At 54.2% G+C, this 12,981-nt stretch overlaps 1 protein-coding gene across 2 annotated transcripts in view, besides 1 other annotated feature; it reads right to left on the bottom strand.

Moving 5' to 3' along the window:
• PCNT (pericentrin) overlaps window positions 1-12,981 on the bottom strand; it is a 121,614-nt gene that overhangs the window by 85,096 nt on the left and 23,537 nt on the right. For both annotated transcript variants that reach the window (NM_006031.6, NM_001315529.2), the window contains exons 7-13: window positions 11,488-11,662; window positions 10,854-10,990; window positions 9,134-9,245; window positions 7,348-7,570; window positions 6,606-6,687; window positions 5,048-5,222; window positions 3,483-3,700 (exon numbers count right to left, since the gene is read on the bottom strand). In NM_006031.6, coding sequence (NP_006022.3) covers window positions 3,483-3,700; window positions 5,048-5,222; window positions 6,606-6,687; window positions 7,348-7,570; window positions 9,134-9,245; window positions 10,854-10,990; window positions 11,488-11,662 — 1,122 coding nt within the window. The remainder of the gene's footprint in view (window positions 1-3,482; window positions 3,701-5,047; window positions 5,223-6,605; window positions 6,688-7,347; window positions 7,571-9,133; window positions 9,246-10,853; window positions 10,991-11,487; window positions 11,663-12,981) is intronic.
• Window positions 3,772-3,851: an enhancer, noted in NCBI's record as "active region_18601". NCBI's record gives its function as "activates an Ori minimal core promoter by ATAC-STARR-seq in GM12878 lymphoblastoid cells {active_cell/tissue: GM12878}" and the evidence as "EXISTENCE:reporter gene assay evidence [ECO:0000049][PMID:35858748]".

Below are 12,981 nucleotides of genomic sequence, written 5' to 3'. Positions count from 1 at the left end.
GGTGGCGGACGCCTGTAGTCCCAGCTACTCGGGAGGCTGAGGCAGGAGAATGGCGTGAACCTGGGAGGCGGAGCTTGCAGTGGGCGGATATCGCACCACTGCACTCCAGCCTGGGCGACAGAGCAATATTCCGTCTCAGAAAAAAAAAAAAAAGCCGGCGCAGTGGCTCACACCTGTAATCCCAGCACTTTGGGAGTCCGAGGCAGGCGGATCACGAGGTCAGGAGATCGAGAACATCCTAACACGGTGAAACCTCATCTCTACTAAAAATGTAAAAAAAAAACTAGCCAGGCGTGGTGGCGGGCGCCTGTAGTCCCAGCTACTCGGAGAGGCTGAGCCAGGAGAATGGCATGAACCCGGGAGGCAGAGGTTGCAGTGAGCCGAGATCGTGCCACTGCACTCCAGCCTGGGCAACAGAGTGAGATTCCGTCTTTAAAAAAAAAAAAAAAAAAAAAAAAAATTGCCAACTATATGCTGTCCACATAAAATGCACTTTACTTTGAATAGATTAAAAGTAGGCCAGGTGCAGTGGCTCACATCTGTAATCCCAGCACTTTGGGAGGCCGAGGCGGGTGGATCACTTGAGCCCAAGAGCTTGAGACCAGCCTGGACAACATGGCGAAACCTCATCTCTACAAAAAATACAAAAATTAGCTCAGCACGGTAGTGTGCACCTGTACTCCCAGTTACTTGGGAGGCTGAGGTAGGAGGATCCCTTGAGCCTGGGAGGAAGAGGTTGCAGTGAGCCAAGACTGTGCCACTGCACTCCAGCCTGGGCAATAGCCTGTCTCAAAAAAAAAGAAAAAAAAAAAGGTAAAACGAATAAAAAAAGATACACCAGACAAAATGCACACGAAGGTTGGAATGACTGTATTGATAAAAGACGAGGCTGGGTACGGTGGCTCACGCCTGTAAACCCAAAAATTTGGGAGGCTGAGGCAGGCAGATCATGAGGTCAGGAGTTCGAGACCAGCCCGGCCAACATAATGAAACCCCGTCTCTATTAAAAATACAAAAATTAGCCGGGTGTGGTGGCACGTGCCTGTAGTCCCAGCTACTCGGGAGGCTGAGGCAGCAGAATCGCTTGAAACCAGGAGGCGGAGGGTACAGTGAGCCAAGATCACGCCTCTACACTCCACCCTGGCGATAGAGTGAGACACTGTCTCAAAAAAAAAAAAAAAACAAAAAAAAAACAGGTGTATTTTTGGACAGAATACTACAAGACAGAAAAGGGTGAATTTTTAGGAAGACATTACAATCACAAATGTGTACACGTGTAACAACAGAGCTTCCACATACTCAAAACAAGAATTAAAATTAACAAGAGAGAAATCCACAGTCCTCTCCCCATAATTGATATAAGGAGGTAAAATGGTGGCCTGTGAAAAGCATAAAGACATGAGCATCAAAAAGTCACCTGGAGCCAGGTTCGGTGGCTCACGCCTGTAGTCCCAACACTTTGGGAGGCCAAGGCGGGCAGATCACTTGAGATCAGGAGTTTGAGACCAGCCTGGCCAACATGGTGAAACCCTGTCTCTACTAAAAATACAAAAATTAGCTGGGCATGGTTGGGTGCGGTGGCTCACACCTGTAATCCCAACACTTTGGGAGGCTGAGGCGGGTGGATCACGAGGTCAGGAGATCGAGACCATCCTGGCTAACACGGTGAAACCTCGTCTCTACTAAAGATACAAAAAAAAAAAAAATTAGCCAGGCATGGTGACGGGCACCTGTCTTCCCAGCTACTCGGGAGGCTGAGGCAGGAGAATGGCATGAACCCAGGAGGCAGAGCTTGCAGTGAGCTGAGATTGCGCCACCGCGCTCCAGCCTGGGTGACAGAGCGAGACTCCATCTCAAAAAAAATAAAAAAAAATAAAAAAAATTAGCCAGGCATGGTGGTGTGCACCTGTAATTCCAGCTACTAGGGAGGCTGAGGCAAGAGAATCACTTGAAGCCAGGAGGTGAAGGTTGCAGTGAGCTGAGATCGCGCCACTACGCTCCAGCCTGGGCGACAGAGCAAGACTCAGTCTCAAAAAAAAAAAAAACAAAACAACAAAACAACAACAACAACAAAAAGTCACTTGGGAAGTCTGTCTTCAGCCAACAGTGCCAGAGAAGGCCACACACTGGTGGCTGCAGGTGCCATTGGCACATGACCATCGGCCCACCTACCGCCTGTCCGGCTCCCCACAGGGCTCCACCCTTACCTCTATTTTGCTGGAAGTCCTTACCAACACCTGCATTTAACAAACAGCATGGGATCAGACTTGCAGGTCATCATAGCTTCCTATGAAGCTGTCTCTTGATGGAGAATGAAAATCATTCTCAGGGAGACATTCACAGGGAGGAGCAAAGGGGTGGGAGAAGCAGGACACAAATAGAAATGAAAACACTGTCACAAGCATGAGGTTGAGTCAGAACACACATGACAAGACATGACAATTTCAGTCACTTTAACTCCACTGCTCTGGCACGGGATGGACCCTGAGCTGCCCCGTCGGTTCACTTGAACTCCACTGCTCCCGCATGGGACGGAGCCTGAGCTGCCCTGTTGGTTCACTTTAACTCCACTGCTCCGGCATGGGACGGACCCTGAGCTGCCCTGTCGGCTCACTTGAAATCCACTGCTCCAGCATGGGATGGACCCTGAGCTGCCCTGGCTGTAACCAAGCCCATCGGGCCATGTGGAGGCTGCTGTCGTGTTGCTTTGTCATCATTTATGACAGCATGGCAGTGTCCTCACACTCGCAAAGGGCGAGGGAGTCAGAGGGTGCCTCTTCCACAGGTGCAAAACAGCACAGGAAGAGCCTGGGGAACGCGGACGCAATTTAAGACTTGGGGTGAGCATCAGAGGCCAGCCACGTGCTTGGCACCCGGGCTTGTGCCTCCTCCCAGAGCCCTCTTAGGACACCTGGACAGTTTCCCTAAGAAATCTTGACTCAGAGGGCCGGGCGTGGTGGCTCACACCTGTAATCCCAGCACTGTAGGAGGCCAAGGCAGGCAGATCACTTGAGGTCAGGCGTTTGACACCTGCCTGGCCAACAAGGTGAAACCCTGTCTCTACAAAAAAAATACAAAAATTAGCCAGGCATGGTGGCATACGTTTGTAATCCCAGCTATCAGGGGACCACTTGAAATCAGGAAGCAGAGGTTGCAGTGAGCTGAGACCATGCCACTGCACTCCAGCCTGGGCAACAGAATGAGACTGTCTCAAAACAAAACAAAACAAAAAGAAATCTTCACTCAGAACTTCACTTTCGCCCCGGTGCTGACCCTGACAAGATTCTATCCAACCGCCACCCACTACTGGCATTGCCAGGAATAGTTTCAAGAATTTACGGGACTGTCGCCCTTACAAATGTGCCATGTACAGCACTGGGCTGTCCCCAGGATGCCCCTCCATACACAAGGACACAAGCCTTCCAGGTGGAAGAGAGCAAGGACTCGGGCGGGAGGCGCTGGGCTGTGGAGTCACGACTCACCTTCTCCAAATCGTCCTTCAGACGAGTTTCATGCTGCAACTTCCCATACAAATTTCTATTTTCTATTTTTAGGAGTTCAATTTCTTCTTTGAGCTCAGTCTGAAGAAGCGAAAGTTGCACCTTGTGCTCAGTTTCCAGACCCAAGACTCTGGCTGCCCGCTCTGTGTCGGCCTCCAAGTCCCCGTCCTGCACACCCTGGAGATGCACCCAGGGAAGCTCTGTGTGGAAAAGGAGCAGGGAAGACAGTCAGGCCGGTGCCGGCCCTCGATGGAGCCCACAGTCCGCACAGGCAGAACGGCAACCTATAAATGCTTCTGACAGCAGACACTGTGGATTTTCAAGCTCTGTGCTGACTCAGTGATGAAAGCAGGCATGGCTCTCTCAAGTCTCCCCTCCCTTTCGGGACACCTCCATGCTGCCCCAGCACAGTGCCGTCCCGAGTCACAGGGATGTCCTGGGCCCACACGACAGCCACACGACCCGCCCAGGCTACTCCTTCAGGTCAGGTGTGACATGTGACCCTCCATGAGTTCCTGAGTGAGCCTCATGCCTGTGACCAGATGTGGGCACACATGTGTCACCCAGGGTCTATGAGGCAGCCACAAGGACAGGGCCTGAGCTCAGGGGCCTGCCAGGGTTCCTGTCCCAGCACCTCCCCCTGCTGTTCTGTGCCCAGGCACGCTACCCCCACTGGCCCATCTCTTCTTCTGCAGAAGAGGAAAAAAGCAGAAGGGACTAGGTGCTGGCCAGGCACCAGTGGTGCCAACGACCATGGGCATCAAGGGGTGGCTGTGGGGACAATTGTGGTGCAGGGCAGGCAGGAGTGAGGACCAGATGCAGGCGCCGCTGCACCACCCCCAGCTTGAAGGAGGCCCAGGCAGGCCCAGGCTTCTCTCAACTTGGCCACAGCCCAGAATGGAGTCAGACCACACACCTCCCAGCAGGACCCGCGGCCTCAGCCCCTCACCCCCACCATGGACGGCAGCCCCACCATCAGCACAGTCCACGCCAGTGGCCAGGGCCGCCTGCCCCTCCTGGAACCCGTCAGTGGCCACTGTCCGGCGCCATGGGACCGCGACTCTGGGATGACTGCAGTTTCCTCTCCGTCACCTTCTGACCCCACAGCCCTGTGCCCCGTGCCCTGCCTGGACATCCCACAACCTTAGTCTGACTAGGCGAGCTGGGGTACCTGGGCCTGCTGGGAGCAGAGCAGGATCCTGGAAAAGCCTCCCCTGGGCCCAGTGGACACACATTCTCCCTCCAGAGGTGAATGGTCACCATGTCCATCCAGCAATCCCCATGACCCCCAGGGTGGCTGCCCAGGTCAGACCTGCCCTGCTGGGGCGCTGGCCCAGGACACGCACTCCTGCCCAGCCAGTGACCCCGCCTCTAACGCCAAACCCTCATCAGGACACACTCTGTTGAGGTGTCAGCCCCAGAAGAAGAGGTCGGAGCACTCAGCTGCTTCACGGAGGACTTGGATCGAACCCAGGCACCCAGGCTCCCCGAGAACGTCCCCCAGACCCGGGACCTGCCGACACCATGGCGAGGCGGGAGGGGCCCACCTTGGCTGTGCCCTTCAGAGGGTTCCAGACGCCACTCGTGTCCCAATGCTGAAGTCTCTACGCAGCATCTGTCTGAGACATGCCCCTCGTGCTGGATGCAGAGGGGAGACTCCAGCGCTTCCAGCTGGTGCCTGTGGCTTTCTTCTAACTCCGCCTGGAAGCGTGGCAGGCTCTCCTACAGAGAAACCACGTGGGACAAGCACGTTAGTGAGCCAAGCTACCTCGCTCGCAGCTATAACCCTCAAAGGTGTTTCCTGCTATGCACAAAGAAAACTCAAACCTCACTAGGTTCATGAGACCACACGCTGCGCCCTGGTGAACCCCGCCAGCCCACTGGCGTGCTCACATGCTCTCCCGCCCACACCCGTCTCTCAGTCAGGCCTCCGGAAGACATACAAGAATTGGTGGCACTGACAGGGACTGGTGCTCCTCAGGGCGGCAGGGCCCTGGACCGGGCAGACCTCTCCTCAATTCTCTCAGCAGCAAGGTCGGTAGGGCACGTGCCCCTCGCGTCTCCCCTGGTGGCCTCACATCTCAGGGCTGGGCTCTCAAGGCCAGCCTCCTGTGACCACTGCCCACTAACAGCTGGGTCCTCGTCACACCCACGCGCAGAGGCAGGGGTTGGCTCTCAGGTGATACACGAATGCCTGGTGGGGCTACCCACCCCAGCCCTTCCTGGGTTCTCTCTGGTGCAAGGCCTGCTCGTGGGAAGGTCCTGGCTGCCTGTTCCAGCCGGGCCCTTGCCCTTCTCTGGCATTTCCCCCATAGCCTCTTGTGCAGCAAATTCTGTGTTGGGGTCCGCTTTGCAGGGAACTCAAACTGGCACACAGCCCGCTGCCACCCTGCCTGGACACCCTGTGGCCTCCAGCAGGCCCAGGGACCCTGCTCCAGAGTGAGGGCTCCTGGCCGCTGAGCCCAGATGCCCCGAGTTCCCCTCCACTGGTTCCACCGTGCAACAAGCCACGCGGTGCTGCCCCTGCGTCTCCTCCCTGCCCTCCCGTGTGTCCCCCGGAGCCCGACACCGGGCTTGCTCATGCTGCACATCAAGTGCTCCACAGCCACACATACTGCTGGGCACCACACTGGCAGCACAGACCCAGAACAGTCTACATCCCAGAAGCTCCGTTTGGACAGTTTGCCCCACAGAAGTTAAAGGTGACAGAAGTCGCAGCACGGAAGCAACTCAAGGAAGAAACACAAAAGCCAGCAGACGCTCCGTGTGGACTCAAAGCAAAGACACAATTTCACACCCTTTGAACTGCCACTGTCAAGTCTGACGAATGCAGCCCACTGCAGGGTGGAGGCCTTGCCCACAGCCAGGGCATCCCAGGGCTGAGGGAGGGGCTCCGGCTCCCCCGGCCACCCCCTTTCCTGATCAAACAGTGCATGGTGAGGCCCACCGCGGAGCAGCAGTGAGGTCGGGGCAGCATCCGCAAGCAGCCTTCCTCCCCTGGACAAGGTGGGAAGGACGGAAACACAGGCTCTATAATGTGGAAGACGCAGGGCTGGAAGGTCAAGAGCACAGGACTCCCCCACTTCTCAGCGCGCGGCCAATTACCTTATGTCGCTCAGGCTCGAGTTCATCAACGTGATCTTTTCTTCCTTTCTCAGGTTTCTCTTCTAAACCCACACAGGACAACCTGAAGGGAAAACATTTTATAAAAGCTTTACACACGTACCCCTTTTCCATGTGTGCGCCATTCCCTCCCCAGGACCGACTGCTCACAGCAGAGGCGCCTCCTCGTGCTTCCAGTCAAGGACGGGCAATGTCCATGTGCGGGGAGCCGTGGCAGTCACAAAGCCAGAGACACGGCACAGGGACATGCAGGTCTGGAAGAAAGTGTGCCCGCCACTGACTCTCTCTCTGTCTCTCTCACACACACACACACACACACACACACACACACACACCTGGAGGAGAGTGCCCCTGCCACCAACACACACACATGCCTGGAGGAGAGCGCCCCTGCCACCAACACACACACACGCAGGCCTGGACAAGAGCGTGCCCACTGACTCATGCACACACACACACATGCTGGCCTACACGAGCGTGTCCACCACCAACATGTGCACGCAGGCCTGGACAGAGTGTGGCCACCAATGGCTCGCACACACACATGCAGGCCACTCTCGGGTGCCCGTGCCTGTGTCATCTTTTAAATCTGGACCATAAAATGTGTTTGTATAAAAGGCCATTGGTGCCTACTAGCATGAAATCACCAACAAAACTACCCCTGAACTCAGAGCCTGGCCCCTGTATGGCAGAAACTCACTGAGGCTGGAACTGCTTTGCTTACCCAACTTCCACAGAGTCCAGAAGAGCATCTTCCCTCGCCCCCTGCAGCCTCTGCTGTAACAGGGTTAGGTCTTCTTGGTAAGTTTTCTCAGCATCCCTTAACTTCTTTTCAAAATAAATCCTCAGTTGCTCCAGTTCGGACTCATGCTGGGTTTTTTCTCGCTGCTTCAGCTGTTCTAAATCTTCCACACGAGAGGTGCGCGCCAGGAGTTGCTCATGTAGCTCTGCAACATAACGGAGTCAGGCAATCGTCTTAAAATGGGACACCCACAACAAGCCAGGCGAGAGGCAAGAGCCTGGTTACCTGTGGTGGGGGCAGAACTCGGAAAAGGGCCCATCCCAGAACCGGAGAGGGATGAGGGACCCCTACGGCTTAGACTCTCGTACGCCCCTGAATGTGGAGAGCTCTCTCCAAGCGGTGGCAAGAGCCACAGGGCTGGGAGCAAAAGCAGCACTCGAAGTGGCAGGGATGTGGGGGGCACAGCCAGCAAGGAGACAGACGATGGTCCTGCAGCCCCAGGAAACTGGATCCAGACCAACCTCGAGCCCAGAAGCAGGCTCATCAGGTTGGCACACGACAGCTGACACCTGGATGTGGGCTATGGGGGACCCTGGACAGAAAACCCAGCTGTACCATCTTGGACTTTCTGTAAGCTGACAACTGTGTTGTTTTAGGCCACCAAGTTTGTGATAATTTGTTACACAGCAGCAGAGAAGCAACACGGACCCTAAAAGAACTTGTCTCCATGGCTACTATGGTCAGAATACAGCCCGCTGCTCTACAGCAGCTGACAGCCAGCAACGGGCACCCCAGAGAGGGCAAATCGGGGTTCTCTGCATGGGTCCCGAGAGGCAGGACAGAGACAAGCAGAGGACCAAGCCAGAGCCGGAGCCCGCGGGGAGCAGCTGTGCCTGTGGCCCCCTCAGCTTCTCTCTTCTCCAGCCTCCAGCGACAGACAGACCCCCAGAGGAAGATAAATCGACATGCTCTCAGCTGCACCTGGTCCCGGCAGGGCGCAGGGCTGGGAGGCGGAGCCAGGCCTGGTGCCCTGGTGACAGTGGCAGTGTCTCCAGTTCTTTCTCCTAAGTGCTCTTTGCTTCAAATCCCACCACCCACAAGGACAAGTTGGGCCAAAAGGCTCTGTCGGCACATGAATGCCAGGAGACACGCAGTGGCTCACCCTCCTGTCCTGTGGACCTGGGCGCCGGTGCCTGAATTGGGCTTGGCCAGCCCCTGCCCTCAGGCACCATCCAAGCCTGCTGCACAAAGACCTCTCTGACACGGAATGGGGGGCCTGGGGTCGGGGTCTCCAGAGGTGCTCAGCTATAAGGGGACACCTGGAGCAGAGCTGCCTTCAGCAAGTGGCCTGGAGAGCTGGGGCCACAGGAGCCTGGCAGCAGGATGTGGGGCACTGCCCTGTGACCCCAGACACCAGGTGAGCCCGCACTTGGACAGCACTCAACCGTCCTTCCGAGGCAAACGCTCAGCACCACTGGTAAGCTTTCCTTAGACATGAAGGCACCCCCTGCAAGTGTTGCTCTTGGCCTTGAGGGACACACAGGTGCACGTCACTGCTGCACTGACTTGCTTAGCATAAAACCAGGGCTCTCTCCCACAAAGCAAACCTCCACTTTCAAACCAGACACCTCAACCTTCAGGATGTCAAACAGGTAAATCCACTTTTTTGTGTTTGCTAGAATTGTTAAATTCTGGCTTGGTGTTACAACAATGAAAAACACACAGCTTCAGCTTTTGAGGATCTGAATTTTCCAATACAATTCCTCACCACTCAATTCCTGTCTACTGGTCCTGGCAGAATCAAGCTGGGACCACAAGCGCCTGATCTCTTCTTGTGATTGTGCCTTCAGGTCTTCATATGATGCTTGAAGATTCTCTAACTGGAAAAAGCAAAGTGTCCAGGTGAAACCCTAATGAGCTCAAGGCCCCCACCCCAGCAGTGACGTGTGCGGTTTTATCCCTGCCACTGCGATCCTAAGGGTAAAAGCTCACATCCCAAACCTGCAGCTCGGAGAAAGCCAGCCACAGCAGAGACCGAGAGAGCTCTGTCCGTGACAAGAGGGATCGGTCAGCGCTGACCCCACAAGGCCAGGCACTTTCAGAATCTCAGGAACTTCCAGGTCTGTCTCAGCTGAGGAGGTGGCACGGCCAGGTTCCATGCCGGCCGCAGCGGTGCAGTTTCATCTTGTGCACCTCCCTGCTTCGGTTTAGGGTCATACATACAGACTGCTGAATGGAATTTAGGGAGTCTTACTAGCCCACAGTACCCAAGACTCCCAAATAGGAGGTCTCTCAGTTTCAATACTTCTACATTAAGGAAGCAGGTACCTCTTACACCGTGACACTAAACTTTTCTGTACAATCAGCAAGAGCCCAGCCCAGCGCAGCATGGCGTGATTTCCTCCTGGGCAACGCTGCACCTGGGGCTGGCCTGTCCTCCTCATGGAAACGGCTCCTCCTACCTTTCCCAATCATGGGCATCAGGACCAGAAGATGCTACCAGCCCCCTCTTTCCCATCTCGGAGGGAGAGCCTGGAAGGGACCAGGGAGAGACTGGGGGTGTGGAGTGAGCCCCGGCCTGGACTCTCTGCAGGAGAGGAGGGTGTGTGGGCACCAGAGTCCCGCTGGGAGACACAAGGGGCCCAGGACAGGCCTCCCTAAGACCCTAGACCCCAACTACTTCCATATTCTCATGTTTGTAAATCTTTCACACACCACGATTAACCCTATCTCTGATTTATGCTTTAATTTCTTCAACTGATTCTTGGGATACTCAGTTTGAGTCTCAGGTTTGTCAGGCCTCCAATGAGGACCTGGCCACATCAACATTTTGATTGTAGTGCTTCATTAGAGAAGCATCTTGAATACACACAGCAGAAAGAAATGCTTGTTAACTTTTCCTAGGAATCTCGTGTGTACTGGATCACGGTTAGAGGATGTGGCCTTACACTCCTACCTAGTGTCTGCGATTTGTGTAACTGTCTCAGGGACGCCTGCAAAGAACATGCATTCCTAAGTACAAGATTGAACGTAATTATTAAATCAGTCTCAGAGACTATATCCTTACACTTTTATTCACCACTAACACTCTATTTATTTTTTTATTTCATTTTATTTTATTTATTTGCTTTTGAGACGGAGGCTCGCTGTTGCCCAGGATGGAGTGCAGTGGTGAGATCTCAGCTCACTGCAACCTCCACCTCCTAGGTTCAAGCGATTCTCGTGCCTCAGCCTCCCGAGTAGCTGGGATTACAGATGCCCACCACCATGCCTGGCTAATTTTTGTCTCAAACTCCTGAGCTCATGATCTGCCCACCTTGGCCTCCCAAAGTGATAGAGTTACAGGCGTGAACCACTGTTCCCAGCCAGTCTCTTTAAATTTAGAACTTAAGTTTTAGCAAATAACACAATACGAAATAGCCCAATTCCAAAATCTGTTAAAACTTCCCTAATATACCAAGTAATTAAATAACGAAGCTGCTGCCCACCTCCAGCTGTTTTTCTTTCTCGCTCTCTTTGAACTTGAACTCCAAGTCTTCTAAACACCGGCCGTGCTCGGACTGCAGGTCTTCACGTAACTTCTCAATGGCTGCTTGATGATGACTCTCCAGGTTCCTAAGGGCCCCTAGAAAGGTAAAGCAATGGCACTTGGTTTACAAGACATCACTCTCCTCAACAGCGACCTCAGTGACAATAATGGTGCACCCAGAGCGCTGCCACCCAGAGCCCCATCCTGGGCGCCCCCGGGCCCCTCGTTTGAGCCTCACATGCCTGATAGCACCAGGGGACATCGCCTACCCATGCCACCCACCATGAGGGTCAAGCTGGAACACACAACCCTGGAGTATGAAAAGTGAACAACCACAAAGCTGCTGCTTTGTAATAATTTAGCAACTGAACATGCCAAGAAAAATCTCTGAAACAAAGATCAGGAAGGTTTAAGGACCCTGAGAGACCTGTGACCCATGACGGCCACCAGCGTGTCACACGTGCATGGGGCCATCCAGCATTTAGAAGGTAGGAAACGTGCGCAATGACGCATGGTGACATGAACGACATTCCTTCCAGTACTACCTAGGAAAATTCAGTCCCACTCCAAACTTGCTCATTTTCATTACTTACGTTCAGCCTGGTTTTTGTCTTGAAAAATCTTCTCCAACTCAGCTCTCTGTTCTGCCAATTCTTTCTGAAACTGGTTTTGTAAATCCTCCATTTCTGATTGATGCTTTGCAGACAGTTCTTTGCGTAGATTTTCTAAACATAAATCTTTTTCAGATTCCCAATCTTCCTTCAGGGTCTAATTTAAAAGAAAAAAAAATTAAACTCAATAGTTGATTATCTGTGCTAAAGAAATTTAAATCACACAGTCAAAACCTCTGAGCAGGCCAGGCAACGTGGCTCATGCCTCTAATCCCAGCACTTTGAGAGGCTGAGGCAGGCAGATCGCCTGAGCCCAGGAGTTAGGGTTACAGACCAGCCCGGGCAACATAGTGAGACCCCATCTCTACAAAAAAAAAAATACAAAAATTAGTGGGATGTGGTGGCATGCAACTATAGTCCCAGCTACTCGGGAGGCTGAGGCAGGAGGATCAATTGAGCCCAGGAGGTCAAGACTGCAGTGAGCTGTGATTGTGCCACTGCACTCCAGCCTGGGAGGCAGAATGAGACCCTGTCTCAAAGAAAAAAAAGAATGGGCAGTCATGGCCCCCAACTAAACTGTCCTGACAGGCCTTACACCCAGTCTCTCCCCTGAATGCTGGCAGGACAGAAAAGCAGAAGCATCCAGGAGGCAAGCAGTTGAGGAAAAGTGAGCAAGGACCACCCACCACAAAACAGACTGCCATCTGCACACGAGGACCACCCACCCTGAAACAGACCAGCCTCTGCACAGGGACAACCCACCCTGAAACAGACCAGCCTCTGCACAGGGACCATCCACCCCAAAACAGACCTGCATCTGCACAAAGCGAGAGGACCACCTACCCTGAAACAGACCAGCCTCTGCACAAGGACCACCCACCCCGAAACAGACGAGCCTCTGCACGCAAGGCCTAATCCACACAGTCACCCTCAAAGCGTTAGTAATACATCTCCCTATAAGTCCCAGGGGCCAATGGCAACTTTGCCAACCTCCACCCAAGGGCTGGGCTCTGTCCCAAGTGTTCTGAGAAATGGGTCTCACTGCCTGCGTCAGAGGAGCAGGTGACCGGAACACAACCCCAAGCCTGGACTAACACCCATCGTCTGCCAAGGGCCTGAGAGCTGCCCAGATGCCTGACTCAGGAAGGGCCTCCACACTCAGCATGGCTGACAGCTCAGCCCTCTAGCGGAGGGCCTGGCAATGACGGGGCACTGCTACCTGTGGTCCCCAGTGAGGCCACCCACAGCAGGTGCAACCCACCCCACCCAAAACCTCCTCCCTGTGTGGTATTCTCCCCGGCACCCCAGCACCCACACCCCATGCACTGCAGGGAACTGCCACATCCACGAGGGCAGAGGCTGTGTCCCAGAACACAGCTCAGGGGCAGGCCATGGGGGCCACTCAGAAGACAGCATGGAGGGGCCGAGCAGTGCCTTTGTGTTATGCAAGTCAATGTGAAACAACAAAACAAGTTT

This window comes from Homo sapiens, chromosome 21 (assembly GCF_000001405.40).
Source record: "Homo sapiens chromosome 21, GRCh38.p14 Primary Assembly".
Classification (NCBI taxonomy): Eukaryota; Metazoa; Chordata; class Mammalia; order Primates; family Hominidae; genus Homo; species Homo sapiens.
Note: the sequence above shows the minus strand (reverse complement) of the source record. Positions and strands in the feature narration are given on the sequence as shown.